At 45.3% G+C, this 20113-nt stretch overlaps 1 protein-coding gene across 15 annotated transcripts in view; it reads right to left on the reverse strand.

The window, feature by feature from the left end:
* DNAH3 (dynein axonemal heavy chain 3) overlaps positions 1-20113 on the reverse strand; it is a 226349-nt gene that overhangs the window by 16113 nt on the left and 190123 nt on the right. For all 15 annotated transcript variants that reach the window (XM_017023432.2, NM_017539.2, XM_047434349.1 and 12 more), the window contains 4 exons: positions 14061-16202; positions 9956-10181; positions 5590-5834; positions 3210-3326 (listed from right to left, as the gene is read on the reverse strand). In XM_017023432.2, coding sequence (XP_016878921.1) covers positions 3210-3326; positions 5590-5834; positions 9956-10181; positions 14061-16202 — 2730 coding nt within the window. The remainder of the gene's footprint in view (positions 1-3209; positions 3327-5589; positions 5835-9955; positions 10182-14060; positions 16203-20113) is intronic.

A 20113-nucleotide genomic window follows, 5' to 3' on the forward strand; every position in this document is an offset into this window, starting at 1 on the left:
ACTGTAAACCTTCCTCTGGGTGACAGAGGGAGACTGTCTCAAAAAAAAAAAAAAAAAAAAAGACCTGCACTCCAGCCTGGGCAACAAGAGCGAAACTTCGTCTCAAAAAATAAATAAATAAATAAATATAAATAAAAACAGAAACAAAAAAAAAGACATTTAAAGAGCGAGGGAGAGACCACATTCATATAACTTTTATTATAGCATATTGTAATTGTTCTATTTTATTACTGTTGTTGTTAATCTCTCGCTGTGCCTAATTTATAAATTAAACTTTATCATAGGTATGTATGTATAGGATAAAAAATAGTATATATGGGGTTCGGTAAAATCCGCAGTTTCAGGCATCCACTGGGGGTCTTGGAACATATCCCTGGTGGATAAAGAGGGACTAGTGTATATGTTGAGATGGTGGCAGTAACAGTGGTTGGAGCCTTTGCTAACTGTGCCCCTGATAGAGAATTACAACGAGCAAAGACTCTTGCTAATTCATGCTGGAAATGTAGAGTGGGCAAGAAATGGATCTATGATGTCTTTTATACCCTTGAGGTTTGAGGATTGTTTGTTATCTCAGCCTAACTAGCCTATCCTGACTGGAACAGTTGGAAGGTAACTACTCTCAAGCTGGCTGGTTTATGACCGGCAGGCAGTTGGTTTATGGCTTGCAGGCAGTTCTCTAAGCAGACCATATCCCAGGGCAATCATGCACTCATGCTATGGTCTGAAGAGGAACCCTAGGATGTGCTTCTGCATGACCTGGAACTGTGGGAATATGGTTCACTTCTATTTATTATTATTACTAGTTTTAGAGACGGGATCTTGCTGTTTTGCCCAGGCTGGTCTTGAATCCCTGGGTCCAAGTAATCCTTCGGCATCAGCCTCCTGAGTAGCTGGGACTATGGGTGCAAGCCACTGTGTCCAGCTCCAGGCGCACTTCTTTGGAGATGTTCTTTCACCAAACTGAGACCCACTGTATGCGTACTGTGTGTGTCATTTGGGGCTTTGTTTTAGGGAACACTCTACTGAGTTAAGGTCAATGTGACCTTCTGGCACTGAACTTAATCACTGTAAAGAACAGTCTTTCAACCTTGGCACTCTTAACATGTTGGACTGGATAGTTCTGTGTTGTGGGGACCACCTTGTACATCGTAGACTGTTCAGTAGCATCCCTAGCCTCCACTACTATAACTGCCAGTAGCACGCACTATGACATCCAAAACCATCTCCAGACATTGCCAAATAGCCACTGGGGGCTGAAATCACCCACAGTTAGAACCACTCCTTTAAGCCTCTGTCTTCCCAGCTGTAAAATGGGGTTATTAACATGGAGCTCATAAAATTAGCATGAAGACTCAATGCATTAATCACAGGTATACAGTGTCTGCCACGTGCCTGGGGAAGGGATTCTAACAAACTCCTTAACATATGGAGCTGAAGAGGAAATTGGGTGTGATCTTGATGCCCCGGTGTTTTAATTAAGCTGCATTTTGACCTTCAGCCATGATATTCCATTCATTTAGCACATGTCTATTCTTATTCCTGTCTCTGGGACTATACGGCACGTTCCTTGAAGTTAGTGGTCACGTTTTTTTGGTTGTATGTGTGTATGTTTTTTAAGAGATGGGGTCTTGCTCTGTCACCCAGGCTGGAGTGCAGTGGTGTGATCATAGCTCACTACAGCCTTGACATCCTGTGCTCATGCGATCCTCCTGCCTCAGCCTCCTGATTACCTGGGGCTACAGGTGCACAACACCATATCCAGCTCATTTTTATTTTATTTCTTTGTAGAGATGTGGCCCAGACTGGTCTCAGACTCCTGGGCTCAAGCAATCTTCCCACCTTGGCCTCCAAAAGTGCTGGGATTACAGACATGACCCACCGCACAGAGCCTATGATCAAGTTTTACACATTTACATTCTTCCATATTATGTACTTGTACATATCGTGGACTAATAAAAGGTTGCTGATTGATTGCTTTAATACAAAACAGCTAGTGCCATTTCTACCTCAGGATCACTTTGCTGGGAATGTTCTCCTTCCTCTATGCCCCACCCAGTCCATTCTTTTCCACTCATAAAACTCCTACTCACCCCCAAAACCCATCTCTTATGCCTTTAAGAAGTTTGCCACGATCATCTCCTCCTCCTACCCCAAGATTTAATCATTATGCTGCCCTTCTACTTATAAATGTTTCTCTTGTTGAACTTATTACTATGTTACCTTTTTTTTTTTTTCTTCTGAGACAGGATCTCGCTCTGTCACCCAGGCTGGAGTGGGGTGGCACGATCAGAGCTCACCGCACCTCCACATCCGGGGCTCAAGCAATCCTCCCACCTTAGTCCCCTGAGTAGCTAGGACTACAGGCATGTGTCACCACGCCTGGCTAATTTTTGTATTTTTTGTAGAGATGGGATTTTGCCCCAGCCGGTCTTAAACTTCTGGCCTCAAGTGATCCATCGCCTCGGTCTCCCAAAGTGCTGGGATTACAGGCATGATCCACTGCGCCTGGCCCGTATTTTTTTTTTTTTTTTTTTTTTTTGAGATAGAGTCTCTGTCACCCAGGCTAGAATGCAGTGGCGCAATTTCAGTTCACTGCAACCTCTGCCTCCCCACTTCATGCAATTCTCCTGTCTCAGCCTCCCAAGGAGTAGCTGGGACTACAGGCACTGGCCACCATGCCCGGCTAATTTTTTATATTTTTAGTAGAGACAGGTTTTCACCGTGTTACCCAGGATGGTCTCGATCTCCTGACCTCGTGATCCGCCTGCCTCAGCCTCCCAAAGTGCTGGGCTTACAGGCGTGAGCCACCACGCCTGGCCAATTTTTTAATTTTTAGTAGAGATGGGGTTTCAATATGTTGGTCGGGCTGGTCTCAAACTCTTGACCTCAGGTGATCCACCTGCCGTGGCCTTCCAAAGTGCTGAGATTACAGGCATGAGCCACTGTGCCCCGCTGGCCTGTATCATTTTTTAAAATATTTTTCTTCTTTTGGAGACTGTGAGTCACTCAAGGGTAAAGATTCTATCTTAATTTTTTTTGTTTGTTTGTTTCCTTACAATATCTAGCATGATGACCAGCATTAGTAAGAGCTCGATGTTTATGGTGAGGGAGGGAGGGAGTACATAAGTGAATGGAAATGGGAGGAGAACAGCAGGAGGGTGGAACATGATACTGGAGGTTTACAGTGGAAAAACTCCTCCCGTAAATACCTGTCAGGTAGGTCAGAGCATCAAAGGGCACCTCCTTGTAGTCATTGAGAAACATCTGGATCTGCCACATACTAATCCTCAGGTCAGATTCGTTGAATTCATAGGGAATATTCCACCCTGCGTGTGGGAGAGCAGAGAGAGGCTTCAGTGCTGAGAGCTCTTAATTTCCACTCAAAGACCAAGCCGAGGGAGTTAAGCATCATTATGGATCAAAAGCCTCTTTCAGGCTCATGAATATCAAGCACCGAGGCCAACTATTAGCCTGGACGTTTACCACCAACATGGGAGCCATTCTGCCTGAGAAAACATCCATTCTAAAATCAATTTCCTTATATACCTCCCCATTTGTTAAGGAAGATGTTAATGTCCTGGGATTTGTGGAATGAGAATTATTCAGCCTGGCAGGAATATGGCGGTAATGCACGGAGCTCCAAAAATAACACCGCGGCATGGCTAGACAGCAGGAGCTACGACTGGGCAACAGAGCCACGTTGGTTCTGAGAATTCCCCTCCTCGAGCTCACGGGAAAAACTGAATGGCCAGCCTTAAAGAAATGACCACTCGTATTTCCAAGGGTGTAATGATAAATGCCCATTGGGGGCTGAACAAGTGACATACATGTGTAAACCAGGCATGGTGCAGGATACAAGAAAGAGTATGGGGAAACCTGTGCTCAATAGGGAAGTTTTTTGTTTGTTTTGCTTTTGTTTGTTTTGTTTTTTTGTTTGTTGTTTTTTTTTTTTGGAGACAGAGTCTCGCTCTGTCCCACAAGCTGGAATGCAGTGTCGTGATCTCGGCTGACTGCAACCTCCACCTCCTGGGTTCAAGAGATTCTCCTGTCTCAGCCTCCTGAGTGGCTGGGATTACAGGCACGTGCCACCACGCCCAGCTAGTTTACGTAGTTTTAGTAGAGACGGGGATTCGCCATGTTGGCCAGGCTGGTCTTGAACTCCTGATCGCAAGTGATCCGCCTGCCTCGGCCTCCCAAAGTGCTGGGATTACAGGTGTGAACCATCGCGCCCAGGTTCAATAGAGAAGTTTAATTTCCTCCCAAACACTCGCTTTCAAATTATAACAAAATAATAAAATTCGTGTGCCAGCAAACGAAGCATGACTGGCAGTTAGTTGCAAGCCAAACATTTGCATGGCTTTTTTTTTTTGAGAGACTGGATCTCGTTCTTTTGCCCAGTCTAGAGTGGTATGATCTCCCTTCACTGCAGCCTCGAACTCCCAGGCTCAAGTGATCCTCCCACCTCAGCCTCCCAAGTAGCTGGGACTACAGGCTTGTGCTACTATGTCAGGCTATTTTATTTATTTTAATTTTTTTTTTGAGACAATGTCTTACTTTGTCATCCAGTTTGGAGTGCAGTGGCACAATCTTGGCTCACTGCAGCCTCCACCTTCTCGCCTCAAGCGATCCTCCCACCTCAGCCTCCCAAAGTACTGGGATTACAGGCTTGCACCATTGTGCCTGGCATGACTGGTTTATTTCACTTAGCGTAATGTCCTCTAATGTCCTCAGGTTCATCCACGTTGTAGTGTATGTCAGAATTTTCTTCCTCTTTAAGGTTGATTAATATTCAGGAGTTCTAGACCAGCCTGGCCAACACGGTGAAACCCCATCTCTACTAAAAATACAAAAATTAACCGGGTGTGGTGGCATGCTTGTAGTTCCAGCTACTGGGGAGGCTGAAGTGGGAGGATCGCTTGAACCTGAGAGGTGGAGGTTGCAATGAGCCAAGATCACAACACCACACTCCAGCGTGGGTGACAGAGTGAGACCCTATCTCAAAAAAAAAAAAAAAAATTCGTTGTATGAATATATAACATTTTGCTTATGTATTAATCTACCTATAGACTTTTTTTTTTTTTTTTTGAGACAGGGTCTCACTCTGTCACCCAGGCTGGAGTGTGGTGGTGTGATATGGGCTCACTACAAACTCCACCTCCCGGTTGAAGCCATTCTCATGCCTCAGCTTCCCAAATAGCTGGGATTATAGGCGGGCACCACCACACCCGGCTAATTTTTGTGTTTTTAGTAGAGATGGGGTTTTACCATGTTACCCAGGCTGGTCTCGAACTCCTGGCCTCAAGGATTCTGCCTCCCTTGGCCTCCCTAAGTGCTGGGATTAAAGGCACAAGTCACCACGCCCAGCCAGGTTGTCAGATTTAGCAAATAAAAATACAGTGAGAGTTTAATATTAGTTAAATAATAAATCATTTAGTATAAGTATGTTCCAAATATTGCCTGGAAAATATTTATACCGTATCTTACTGGCAACCCTATCTGAGCGCAAGCTTAAACACGCACCTGGAAACACACCTATATGTGTCTGATATCCTTTCCCTCAGGCCACTCAGGTGCACTGTCATCGCTTACCTAGGGGGCCGAAGTTTCTTCTCTCTTGAACAACGGCGTGGAAGAAACAAAGGCCAAATAACATCTTTTGCCACATCACCGCCTTTGCACAGCTTTGGAAGAACACAGGATCTGAGATGGGGTCATTGAGGTAGGAGCGCAACAGGTTGGCCCGGAGCCCTTTGGGGGGCTCATTGGTCATTTTGATTCCATTCTGGAGAATGCTGACTGGAAACTTCTCTGATGGATAGCTGGTTAGCCAGAGTCTGGAAGAACAATGGACCCAACGTTTTAGAGCAATACAATAAGTTATAGTGAAAAGCAACAACAAAAACAAAACAATAACAATAACAAAACAGACCAGCCTGGGTAACATGGTAAAACCCCATCTCTATGAAAAACATTATTTTATTGATAAATTAAAAAAAAATAACAAAAAAGAATAGCTATGATTAAATACTACCAGAGCCAAAACTATGCTAAGCATTTAACATATGTCCTTTTATTTCCCTTAAGCCTCACAGCCACCTGATGAGGAGGGACTTACTACCTCTTTTACCAGTGAGGAAGCGGAGGCATGGCAAGGTCAGGTGGGTTTTTCAAGGACACACCACTTGGCAGTAGTTGAACCAAGATGTGAACTCAGGACTCTCTGACTCCAAAGCTCCTACTCTTTTTTTTTTTTTAATGTAGAGATGGAGTCCCTCTATGTTGCCCAGGCTGGTCTCGAACTCCAGGGCTCAAGTGATCCTCCCACCTCACCATCCCACAGTGCTGGGATTACAGGTGTGAGTCCCCGTGCCTGGCCCTAAGGCTGCTTTCTCCCTACAACCAGAGTTGAATAGTTGCAACAGAGACAATATGGCCACAAACCCTGAAATATTTACTATTGGCCCTTTACAGAAAAAGTTTGCTGATGCCTGTCATATAAGAAATGGCATTTGAAATGTGCCTTGAAAAATAGGGAGAAATTCTTTTTTAAATGCAAGTGTATCTATGCCCACAAAAAATGGAAACATATGTAAAAGTGTTTAGAAGAAACTAGAATTGATAATTTTACCACCTATAGGTTAACATCTTGGCACATTGCATCTGAGGCTCTTTTTTTTCATTTTTATTATTTTTATCTTATTTTATTTTTATTTTCATTTTTTTGAGACAAGGTCTCACTCTGTCACCCAGGCTGCAGTACAGGGGTGCATCTCGGCTCACTGCAACCTCCACCTCCCAGGTTCAAGTGATTCTCCTGCCTCAGCCTCCCGAGTAGCTGGGACTACAGGTGCCCGCCACTATGCCCGGCTAATTTTTGTATTTTTAGTAGAGACAGGGTTTCACCATGATAGCCAGGCTGGCTTTGAACTCCTGACCTCAGGTGATCCACCCACCTCGGCCCCCCAAAGTGCTAGGATTTACAGGTGTGAGCCACTGCGCCCGGCCAGAGTTGCTAACGTTTAAAAACCTAAGGCTTTCTTTTACAGTTCTAGATTCCCATCTTCCCTTTAAAATTGTTAGAAAGTCTGATCCTACATGGCAACAGTTAGCTAGTATTAAACAGTGACCGCTCTCCTTGCCAGAGCATGTGCCCAGTTCACTGCAAGCCCCACCATTCCCTATTGTGTCTGACACTGAGGCTGACTACCCATGAGGATTGTTGCTGTACTGTGGAACGTGGACTATTTCTTGTATCCAGCCCTCTTCACTCATTTATGTTACATGCCTGGCCCCTATAGGCACTTGAGAACTTGAGTTCATGATTTTTGGGTCAGGATCATATTACAGTAGAACTTAAAATGTCAACATAAATAACTTTTTCTTCTTTGAGTGTGTCATTAATGGCCAATGAATTCACTCACTATCCCAAACCAAACAACATTCTTTTCTTTTTTTTAAAGATTAAGGCACAACGCTTTTAGGTTTTTTTGTTGTTTGTTTTTTAATTTATTTATGTTTGGGACAGAGTCTCACTCTGTCACCCAGGCTGGAGTGCAGTGGTGCAATCTCAGTTCACTGCAACTTCCACCTCCTGGGTTCAAGGAATTCTTGTGGCTCAGCCTCCCAAGTAGCTGGGATTACAGACATGCACCACCGCACCTGGCTAATTTTTGTATTTTTAGTAGAGACAGGGTTTCACCATGTTGCCAGGCTGGTCTTGAACTCCTGGCCTCATGTGATCCGCCTGCCTTGACCTCCCAAAGTGCTGGGATTACAGGTGTGAGCCACCTCACTCGGCCCCAAACAGCATTCTTGAAACTAATGGACTTCTCTTAAACTCTCTCTCTTTTGGAAGTTTTATATGAAGACAAATCAACTGTGGCCTAATCCGACTTTGTAAATAAGCACCAAACACTTTCCCTCTTTTCTGGCAGACGACTGAGATGAAAATAACCAGCTAGTTTTGTTGGATAGAGCAGGGGTTGACAAATTTTTTTCTGTAAAGGACCAAATAGTACATATTTTAGACTTTGTGAGCCCACATGATCTCTGCTGCAACTACTTGTCATACAAAAGTAGCCATAGACAATATATGAATAAGCATGATGTTTTTCAATAAAACTTTATTTATGGACACTAAAATTTGAATTTCATAGAAGTTTCATGTATTATGAAACATGATTCTTTAGTTTCTTCCCCACACTGTTTAGTTAGCTTGCAAGCTATACAAAAAAAACTGGCAGCAGGGTGCATTTGGCTATCGGGCCATAGGTTGCTGCTCTCTGCCCTGGTATAAGAGAATCCCTTGGCTGGGTGTGGTGGCTCACGCCTGTAATCCCAGCACTTTGGGAGGCTGAGGTGGGCGGATCACCTAAGGTTGGGAGTTCAAGACCAGCCTGACCAACATGGAGAAACCCCATCTCTACTAAAAATTCAAAATTAGCCATGCATGGTGGTGCATGCCTGTAGTAGCCTCAGGAGGCCGAGGCAGGAGAATCGCTTGAACCCGGGAGGCAGAGGTCACAGTGAGTGGAGATCGCGTCATTGCACTCCAGCCTGGGCAATAAGAGCGAAACTCCATCTCCAAAAAAAAAAAAAAAAAAAAAAAAAAAAAAAAAAAAAAAAAGAGAATCCCTGAACATTTGAGTTAAAATGGACTTTAAAGTCTGTTTGGTTCAACTCATTATTTTATGAATGCAAAAACTGAGGTTTAGCTTTGTTGGGCTTTAAAATTCCCAAAAAACAAATAGCTGTTTCCAATGTTGATTAAAATTCCGAAGAACCCCAGAAATGTAGGATAGAGGCAGGAGGCGGGAGGCAGGACAAATGATACCTGGAAAACAGTAGAATTTTTTTTTTTTTTTTTTGAGACAGGGTCTCACTCTGTCGCCCAGGCTGGAGTGCAGTGGTGTGATCACTGCTCACTGCAGGCTCGACTTCTCAGGCTCAGGTGATTCTCCCAGTTCAGCCTCCCAAGTTGCTGGGACTACAAATGTGCGCCACCATGCCCAGCTCATTTTTTGTATTTTTAGTAGAGATGGGGTTTTGCCATGTTGCCCAAACTGGCCTTGAACTCCTGGGTTCAAGCAATCCACCTGTCTCAGCCTTTCAAAATGCTGAGATTACAGGCGTGAGCCACCATGCCTGGACAGAATTTTTTTTAGACAAATAATAATTTTTAAAAATCAGACTTGCTCACATTGAATCTACCTTTCCAGCTACGTCTCCTATTACCTTCTCCAACAACTTTTCATGGCATATACCAGAGCTGTAAGATAACTTCTCAGGATTTCCTTAATACCTCTCTTTGCTTTTCCAATACCTCTCTTTGCTTTTCCAAATGCTGTCTCTTCTGCCTAGAACATCCTTCCTGGCAAACTCCTATTCATTTTTCAAAATCCTGGGCCATTGTCAGGCCTCCAAGACTTCCCCAACCTTCCCATCCCTTCTCTGTATTCCATGGTTCTTGTTCAAATAGTGAGTAAATCAGGTATGACATGGTATCAACATTATTCATCTATGGCCTGCCTTCTGCTATACTGAAGAGCTTCTTTCTTTTTTAGAGAGGAAGTCTCACTCTGTCGCCCAGGCTGGAGTGCAGTGATACGATCCCTGCTCGCTACAACCTCTGCCTCCTGGGTTCAAGCAATTCTCCCACCTCAGCCTCCTGAGTAGCTGGGATTACAGGTGTGCGCCACTATGCCTGGCTAATTTTTGTATTTTTAGTAGAGACAGTGTTTTGCAATGTTGGCCAGGCTAGTTTCGAACTCCTGACCTCAGGTGATCCACCCACCTCAGCTTTCCAAAGTGCTGGGATTACAGACATGAGCCACCCTGCCTGGCCTAGACTGAAAGTTTCTAAGGGGCAGGACTGTGTCTTGGTCATCTTCCCAGCCACCATCCTGATGTCTGGAGGTTGGGTCCCAGAGAAGGCAGTGGTGGGACAGCATCTCACCTGAATCTGGCATTGGTGCTCTCAGGAACAATCACCTCCTCACAAATCTTCTCCAGGGTAGGCATCCAGCTTGCGGCCAGGTGGCAGTTCTGTAAGACCACCCAGGTCCCGTCTTTGATGGCATTGTTGATCATTTTGGCAGCAATAGGGCCTTGGCCTTGGCCAAGGGAGATGGTCTGTGTTCTGGTACCTCCCATACCAAGATCATCAGCAAACTTCAGCAGGCCTGAGACCAGGAAGAAAGGAGGCTTTTGAAAGACGACAGGCCAGCTAACAGTAACAGAACAGCTATATCAACAATAACAACATGGCTGGGTGTGGTGGCTCACACCTGTAATCCCAACACTTTGGGAGGCCGAGGTGGGAGGATCACTTGAGCTCAGGAGTTGGAGACCAGCCTGGGCAACACAGTGAGACCTTGTCTCTATTTAAACACACACACACACACACACACACACACACACACACACACACACACCCCAACACAAAAGGTGGGGTTCACATTAAATTTTGGACTCAGAAAAAAACTCATTGGCTTCTGTTAATTACAAAATAAACATCTCTCTGGGGAAACTTTAGACATCAGATCAGATGGCAGATGAAGCTACCATCAACTTCTCTTTTGCTTTAAACACATAGACATTCTTGATAAAAAAAGAAATTATCTGAACTGAAAAGAAACAAAAAAAATCAAGGTTTGAAAGAAAAGGATATTCCCAGGTGCCCAAAACGGGGAACTCAAAAATAAAGAGGTGAGCACATCAAATAACTAGGAAACTGATTTTTGCCAATTTATTTTAACAAGAAATATAAGCATTTGTAAAGTGAAATAAGTCTCTCACTTCTCTCTTCTCAGTGGTAGCCAATGTGATTAGATTTGTGAATCCTTCAAGAAATATTTTGTGTATTTAAATAAATGCATATATACTATTAAATTTATATGAATTGTAGAATACTGCATTTTTTTCCCACTTAACAATGTACATATCTTATAGGTCTCTTCCACACTAGTACATGTATAAAGGCTTTTTTCTTTCATGGATACATAGTATATCACCATTGGAAAATACTACACTTTATTTCATTACTCTAGATGTTAAAGTTTTAATGTCCATGGGAGATATAGCTTTGCACTCATAAGAGGTGGGGAGCTGGAACCGAGACACTTGCATAAAGTTAGAATTCTCAAAGTGCCGTACCTTCATGTTATGAAGGCCAGACCTTTGGCCAGATGTGGTGGCTCACGCCTGCAATCCCAGCACTTTGGGAGGCCGAGACGAGCGGATCACTTGAGGTCAGGAATTCGAGACCAGCATGGCCAACATGGTGAAACCCCATCTCTACTAAAAATACAAAAATTAGCTGGGCTAATTAACTAATTAGCTGGGTGGCACATGCCTGTAGTCCGAGCTACTCGGGAGGCTGAGGCAGGAAAATTGTTTGAACCTGGGAAGAGGCGGAGGTTGCAGTGAGCCGAGATCACGCCACTGCACTCTGGCCTGGGTTACACAGCAAGACTCCATCTCAAACAAACAAACAAACAAACAAAAGGCGGCCAAGGCCATTTGACTACTGACCCAAGGAAAAGACATGGAAGCTCATAACTGGTCTGGAGCCTGGATGGAAAAAATAACTCTCCAGTTTAAAAATCAAAACACTAAGTTTATGCCACATGAATTTGAGGAGTGTGAGTTCACGGTACTCTCTGGTGTGGGATTCCTAAGCTGAGAAATTTCCCATAAAATTTGATCCAGAATGGCGACCCCCACCTCACCCTCTGGGGTACCACTGTTTGCACATGCAAAGTTGTTCTGTAAGGACACTCCTTAAACCCAAAGTATATGAGACTCCTGCTAAACAACACAAATTTGCTGATGGTGAACTCACACTAAAAAAAAACCTACACGAGGAAGTACATCACTATGAGGGGCAGGCAGCACATAAAAAGATCAGGGTTAATATTCTAAGGATTACATATGGTCTCTGTTACGAACTGCATCGTGTCCCTAGCAAAATTCATATGTTGAAGTCCTAATTCCAGGTACCTCAGAATGTAACTGTTCAGTAGTTGGAGATAGGGTCTTTGCGGAGGCAAAGTTAAAATGAGTTCATTCAATGAGAACACTTGGACACAGGAAGGGGAACATCACACACCAGGGCCTGTCGTGGGGTGCGGGGAGGGAGAAAGGATAGCATTAGGAGATACACCTAATGTAAATGATGAGTTAATGGTTGCAGCACACCAACATGGCACATATATACATATGTAACAAACTTGCACGTTGTGCACATGTACCCTAGAACGTAAAGTATAATAATAAAAAATAAATGAATAAAAAAATAAAATAAAATAAAATAAAATAAAATAAAATGCGTTCATTAGAGTGGGCCTTAATCCAATATGACTGATATCCTTATGAGAAGAGGAGATGAGGACAGACACAGAGAGAAGGCCCTGTGCAGACATAGGGAGAAGATGACCATCAGCAAGCCAATCAGAGAGGCCTCGAAAGAAACCATCCCCGCCAACAGCTTGATTTCAAACTTTCTTTAAGAATTGTGAGAAAATAAATTTCTGGTTTTTTTTTTTTTTTTTTTTTTGAGATGGAGTTTTGCTCTTGTTGCCCAGGCTGGAGTGCAATGGCATGATCTTGGCTCACCACAACCTCCGCCTCCCAAGTTCAAGCAATTCTCCTGCCTCAGCCTCCCGAGTAGCTCACACCAGTAATCCCAGCACTTTGGGAGGCCGAGGTGGGTGGATCACTTGAGGTCAGGAGTTCAAGACCAGCCTGGCCAACATGGTGAAACTCCATCTCTACTAAAAATACAAAAATTAGCCAGACGTGGCAGCACGTGCCTGTAATCCCAGCTACTCAGGAGGCTGAGGCATGAGAATTGCTTGAACCCGAGAGGTGGAGGTTGCAGTGAGCCAATATCACGCCACTGCAGTCCAGCCTGGGCGATAGAGCAAGACTCCATCTCAAAATAAATAAATAAAATAAAATAATAATTAAAAAAAATAATCATTGTGCACCTGCTACTGAAATAGTGGATCTTGGTGATGATTTTCAAAGGCCACTAAAACTATTAAAGTCAGTGGTTCCCATCCCTGGCTGCACACTGGAATTACTGGAAAGGCTTCATAAAACACAATTCGTGGGTCTCACCCCAAAGATTTTAATTTAATTGGCCAAAGCTGTGGCCCGTGCATTGTGAGGCTTCTTTAAACTCCCCAGGTGATTCCAATGTGCAGCCAAGATTGAGAACTGTCACATCAGGTGAAAAGCTGGTGGGAAACTGTATAAGGGAGGGAGTGGGGGAATGGAGAGCCAGCTCATGCTGACAATGCCTGAGTCCCCAGATCTGTCTTTATCAGAAAAGACAGCCAGACAGTATGGATCTCATGACATGCGGCACTAGAAGGGACACAGTGTGAAGTTTCCTGTGGAATCATCCGAGCTGAATCTCACCAAGCTTCTATTTTGTTCTTTTTTGGGGGGAGGGGGCAGGGTCTGTCACCTAGACTGGAGTGCAGTGGTGTGATCATAGCTCACTGCAGCCTTGACCTCTCAAGGCTGAAGGGATCCTCCTGCCTCAGCCTCCCAAGTAGCTGGGACTACAGGCATGTGCCACCATTTCCAGATAATTTTTTAATGTTTTATAGCAATGGAGGTCTCACTATGTTGCCCAGGCTGGTCTCAAACTCCTGGGCTCAAGCAATCCTCCCAACTCATTCTCCCAAAGTGCTGGGATTACAGGCATAAGCCACCTCTCCGGAACCCTCACCAGGTTTTTAAGGAAAGAACTTTGAATGAATTATCAAGATACAAAAGTGGGAAATTTCTCCATTTCTGGTTCTCTTGAAAAATCAGATGATCTAGCAATTCTGGGCTTACATTCCCAAATGGCCCAATTTGTGGATGCGGAGTAGCAGCTGACCTCTATAGGCAGAAAAGGACGAGTTCCGTGGCTCCACCTCAGCCTATGAACCACCTGGCCTTCAAAGCCATCTGAACTTGAGATCCCTGCTGTAAGGGACGGGCTACTGATATCCACCCACACATACTGGGCTTTCCACGTCTCTCCCACAACACTCTGTTCTTACCTGCCATTGGGTCTGCACTTGGAGACAACACAAAAATCAAAGGCGCACAGCAGCTGGAATCATTGTAGGATCCCTGGAGATCGAACGTAGGGGCTTCGATATACAGCTTTCCCATATGTTCAGCAATGAACTCCCGGACCGCTGGCACCATTTTGTCAGGCCGCAAACATCGAAGGATCACCATCTTCTCCAATCCTTGAGAGAACTTCCAAGACCCAGGGAGTTGCTCCTCATGGGGCCAGGCCGAGTCATAGATCAGCTTCCATTCACCCAGGTTCTGTTCCAAATGCTCCATCAGGCCATGCAGTTTGGGTAAGGCAGATGCACGGACAATCTCTGCCCATGCCTTCTCAGACAGCCATTGGGGAGCTGGATTGGGGTAGGGGTTATCCAGTGCGATGCCTCCAGTGAGAAGGAAGTACCACACCTCCTCCGTAATTTCCTTCTTCTGTTTCATGATGCCGATGGTCAGGAGGAGAGAGAAGAGTAGCTTGTCCTTCTCAAACAGAGAACGGCACACGTTGTTGTAGATGCTCAGGGTGAAATGGTCAATGATGTACTTGATGCGCAGATTCAGTTCCTCGCTCTTCGTGCTGTGGGTCAAGGAATGCATGTAGAGATTTATGAACCAAGTCAGGGAGTACTGGTACATCGGCTCGATGTTGGCCAGGTCCGAGATACAAAAGAAGATGGTGGCAGAATGCACAGCCACTGGCTTGTAGCCCATCCGAGTCTCGTCAATCTGCGTTTCTGTCATGGAAGCAACTTTCTGTTTCTCTGAGATCTCTTCAGATAGCACTTTGGAGGAGGACAGAACTTTGATGGCGGTTTCATCCTCCAGGATGTTACCCTTGGACATGGAGAGAACCTCCAAGATCTTATCTTCAATTTCCTTGAGATGCTTCTTGTTCTTGGCACTTTCCACAATCAACTGGTTCTTTTTCTCTTCCAGCTCTGGCTTCTCCTTCGCAGCCACGATGCCAAGGAGTTGATCTTGGAGACCCAAGGGGGTGATCATGAAGTTGAGGAGACAGACCTTCACGGCAACTTCTGGGAGGTAATGTGGATTCCTCAAACGGGTTGTGATGTATAACTTAAAATCCCTGGAATATTCAATGATGTTTTCACCCAGCCTCATGTACTCAACTCCTTGCTGTTTGAATGTTGCCTTGAGCAAGATAGGTTCGATAGAAGCATCCAGCTCTTCTCCAATGTTTTCAATCAAGACAGGGGTGCCTAACTGCAGCGCGTTTTCCAGCATCCTCATGTAGTTGCTATCAGAGAACTTGATGACAGCCAGTTTATTCGCCTTCTCCATGTTCTTAATCCATTTATTGGCCTGCCCGTGAGGGTCAATCATTAAGGCCCAGCGTCTGGAATTGGATACAATGATGCCATTGTCGATGGAGAAGGAGTCAACGGGAAGCCCAGCAATCTGCCAGGCACGGATTTTTATGGGATCCCCTAACGTGTGGCTGAGACTGAAGTCACTGAAGCCAGGGATGACCTTGTCCTTACATTCAGCCAACCACTGATTTTGGCACTGGACCCGATAATCCACTGTAAAAGCGCCCAGGTAAGCCACAGTTCCTGAGGACAGCAACACGTCACCAGTCAGATTAGTATAGCGGATCCCCAGCTGTCGGGCAGCTTCGGTCCATCTGTCCTTCTCTCCCCCAAGACCACTGATCAGTTTCTCTGCCCTGACCAGCTTTTGGGAGCAGATTTCAATGTTTTCCTCCAAGTCCTTTTTCTTGGTGTTCATCTCTTCAAAGTCGTCATTCAGGGCCTGGAGCCGATCTACCACCAGCTTCAGCTCTGCTCTTTTCTGGTTCAGCTTCTGCATCTGTGCAGCCAGCTTCCCCTCTGCCTCCCTCAGTCGCTCCCGTTTGGGAGCCACCACCTTGGCCACGCGATCGTACACCTCCATGGCCCTCACCCACTTGCACAGACCCTCGCAGGCCGACGATACATTTTTAATGACAGCTGGCTGGAATTCCGGGTGATTGATAAACCTTTCCCGGATCCGCTTCATGGTCAGTGGGGGGATGTTGTCTTTGTCATATGTCTTAAGACTCTCCAAGAATTTCAGATCCCCAAGAATCTTTTTGGATACCCCCCAGTAATCTTCTATCATCTTACCTATTTGGAACAAGAAACAGAGATAATGTGTTAAGACATTCTGGCCAAGACTTAAAATTCTGCAGTGGTTACTGCTGGTATTTGAGAAAAAACAAAAACAAAAACATGGTCTGAGAGGCCCAGCCAACCTCATCAACCCCATCTCTGCCTTGCTCCCTAAACTTGAGTTATAAAGGACCTTCCTTCAATTCCTCCATGACCCCAAGTGCTTCTTACCATGAGCCCTTTGCCTATACTGTAAATGGCATCTAGCTGGCTCCTGACCAGACCTCAGGCCTCATTTTATTTATTCATTTATTTATTTTGAGACAGAGTCTTGCACTGTCAGCCAGGCTAGAGTTCAGTGGCACGATCTTGGCTCACTGCAACCTTCGCCTCCTGGGTTCAAGTGATCCTCCTGCCTCAGCCTCCCAAGGAGCTGGGACTACAGGCATGTGCCACCATGCCTGGCTAATTTTTGTATTTTTAGTAGAGACAGGGTTTTACCATGTTGACCAGGCTGGTCTTAAACTCCTGACCTCATGTGATCTGCCTACCTCGGCCTCCCAAATTGCTAAGATTCCAGGCCTGAGCCACCATGCCCAGCCAATTTTTTTTTTTTTTTTTTTTTTTTTTTTTTTTTTTTTTTTGAGATGGAGTCTCACTTTTGCTGCCCAGGCTGGAGTGCAATGGTGCGACCTTGGCTCACTGCAACCTCTGCCTCCTGGGTTCAAGCGATTCTCCTACCTCAGCCTCCCGAGCAGCTGGGATTACAGGCACCCACCACCACACCCGGCTAATTTTTTGTACTTTTAGTAGAGACGGGGTTTCACCATGTTGGACAGGCTGGTCTCGAACTCCTGACCTCAGGTGATCCACCCACCTCAGCCTCCCAAAGTGCTGGGATTACAGGTATGGGCCACCACGCCCAGCTGTGCCCAGCCAATCTTTGTATTTTTTATAGAGATGAGGTTTCGCCATGTTGCCCAGGCTGGAGGCCTCGTTTTAAAAGCCATTGCCATATAGAGGTTTCCCTAGACTTATCTGACAAGAGAGGCCCCCCTCCCCGCTGCACCAGCATTTTCTTTCACCTTGCTTGCTAGAAAGTCCATTCCCTTTATAGCACTTATTGCAACCTGTAAGTTTTCAATTATTATCTACCATCTACCTTTCCCTCAAAGCGGTAAACTTCTTCTGTTTTCTAGAACCTGGCACACTGCCTGGTACTTAGTTATCAATAAATATGGGTTGAATGAATAGTACCCCATTATCTTATTCATGGATGGAAAAGGCAGCGGGAGCCACAGCCCGTGGGGATGAGTTTCGAATATCCTTCCCTAGTCTGGGAGGTGGGTTGGATGGAGCCCAATCAGTCCTCCCTTTGATGAACTGTGTGAGTGAGGCAAAGGTCTTGTGAGAATGAAGGAGGCTGGAAGAAGCAGCTTGCAGGCTTCCACCCATACAGAAGACTACCCGTGGCCTGCCCAGACACAAAGCCAGGCCGTTATTCCCCTTAGCAGCCATCATGCTGACTAACAAGTAATCAAGTGAGTCTCAATCCCATCCCGGAACAATGCTCCTTCTGTTGACACATTGGAAAAAATTTGGGAAGCTTTTTGGCCCATGGTACTTGCCAAGCTCAGGCTCATCAAAAAAGTTATACTCTGAGACATCACATTGAGTACAGCAGGTCAAATGTGTCCCATTCCTAATTACAAGAGGAGAAATCAGCCAAATATTTCCCATGAAGGTTTTTGTTGGCATTCTAGAAAATGATCTGCTTCATTTAGATTCAAGGTACCCCGAACTAACTCAATTGCTCTTTTGCTCCATCTCAATATACTCACTCAATTCCATGGTTTGGGTGAATAACAGGCATAATTTGCTTTAATTTTAATTTAATGATGGGTTCTGTGCTGATCATCAGTGATCCAAGATGAGAAGTGACATTCATGACCTGGCTGTGCTTTGTGTATCTCAGCAGGTCTCAACCCCAGCTGCAGGGGAGCTTAAAAAAAATCCTAATGCTCAGGCTGCATCCCAGACCAATGGAATGAGACTCTCTAGGAGTGGGGCACAGACTTCTGCTTTTTTTTTTTTTTTTTTTTTTTTTTTGAGACGGAGTTTTGTTCTTGTTGCCCAGGCTGGAGTGCAATGGCGTGGTCTCGGCTCACTGCAACTTCTGCCTCCCGGATTCAAGCAATTCTCCTTCCTCAGCCTTCCGTGTAGCTGGGATTAGGCACACACCACTATGCCCAGCTAATTTTTTTTTTTGGTATTTTTAGTAGAGACAGGATTTCACCATGTTGGCCAGGCTGGTCTTGAACTCCTGACCTCAGGTGATCCTCCCATCTTGGCCTCCCAAAGTGCTGGGATTACAGGAGTGACCCACCGCACCTGGCCGACTTCTGCATTCTTTAACCTCTCCAGGTGATTCTAGGGTGCAGCCAGGGTGCAGAAGTACTATCTAGCTCATCTTTGCTCAAGGCCAACTTATTATACATTAGCTATTTCCCTAAAGGATGCTCTTGTAACATCTGCTCTTTGCTTGACTATTCCTGATGAGCTTTGCCTCTGCTTTATGTGAGTTTAGGCCTGACACCCGCCAGAGAAGAGGGAATGCTAAGCAATGGGAAGCAGGAGCCAGAAGGTCTCAAATGAGGGATCAGGGATTTCTTTCTTGAGACAGGGTCTCACTCTGTCATACAAGCTAAAGATCAGTGGCAGGATCACGGCTCACTGCAGCCTCAACCTCCCAGGCTCAAGCGTTCCTCTCTTCTCAGCCTCCTGAGCAGCTGGGACTACAGACATGCGCCAGCATGCCTGGCGAAATTTTGCATTTTTTGTAGAGATGGGGTTTTGTCATGTTGTCCAGGCTGGTCTCAAACTCCTGGGCTCAAGTGATCCACCCACCTCAGCCTCCCAAAGTGCTGGGATTACAGGTGTGAGCCACTGCACCTGGATGGGATTAGAGCAGAGATCTAACATTTCAGAAAGAATGAAGGAATAGCCAGACTGTTCCCAGGACTGGAAGACTCAAAAGGCAGGAAATAGATTTGGAGGTGATTTTTAAAGTCACTGTTCAGCTCTAAGGCACTGGTCTTAATGCAAAGTCCTACACCTAATTTAAATTTGAAGGAGAATGAATATTCACCTGTTAATGTTTCTAGGCTCAACTGTAGAAGGAGCTTTCCTTCCTCCTTCCCCATTCCTTTCTGCCCGTTTCTAATTCTCTGTATCCTCCTCTTTCTCTTTCTTTGTTCATCTGTCCCTCTCTCTCTCTTTCTTCCTCTCCATTGCCGTCTCTGCCTCTCTTTGCCCTTGTCTCCTGCCCATGTCTCTCTCCCTCTAATTTTCCATTCCCCACTCCTGCTCCACCCCACCCCTCCCCCAACTCCTCTTCTCTGTCTTCGTGTGAGTGTTTTTTTCTCCCTGTCTCTGTCTCTCTTCTCTCTGGTCTCTTTTCTTCCCACTCTGTCTCTCTGTTTCTGTGTCTCTCTTTGTGTCTCTGGCACTCCATGTGTCTCTGCATCTCTCTGTCTCCATTTCTCTGTCGCTCTCTGCATATTTGTCTCTCAGTCTCTATTTCTACCTGTTTCTCTCCCTTCATGTCTTACTCTCTCCTGTATGTCTGCATCTCACTTGTGCATGCAAGTCTCTCCCCATCTGCTTTTTCTTTCTCTGTGTGTGTGTGTGTGTGTGTGTGTGTGTGTGTGTTTCCCTGTCTCTTTCTCCCGATTTCCTTCTCTCCTGGTCCCCCTGTCCCTTTGGGTGTATATGCATGTGCATGCCTGTATGTATGCATGTCTGCAAGTGTGTTCGTGCATGGCTCTGTGTGTGCATGTATGTCTATATGTGCATGTCTCTGTGTGCATGCATGTGTGTGCATGTGTGTGTGTGTGTGCATGCATGCATGCGTGTATAGGTGTCTG

Source organism: Homo sapiens, chromosome 16 (genome assembly GCF_000001405.40).
Source record: "Homo sapiens chromosome 16, GRCh38.p14 Primary Assembly".
Taxonomy (NCBI): domain Eukaryota; kingdom Metazoa; phylum Chordata; class Mammalia; order Primates; family Hominidae; genus Homo; species Homo sapiens.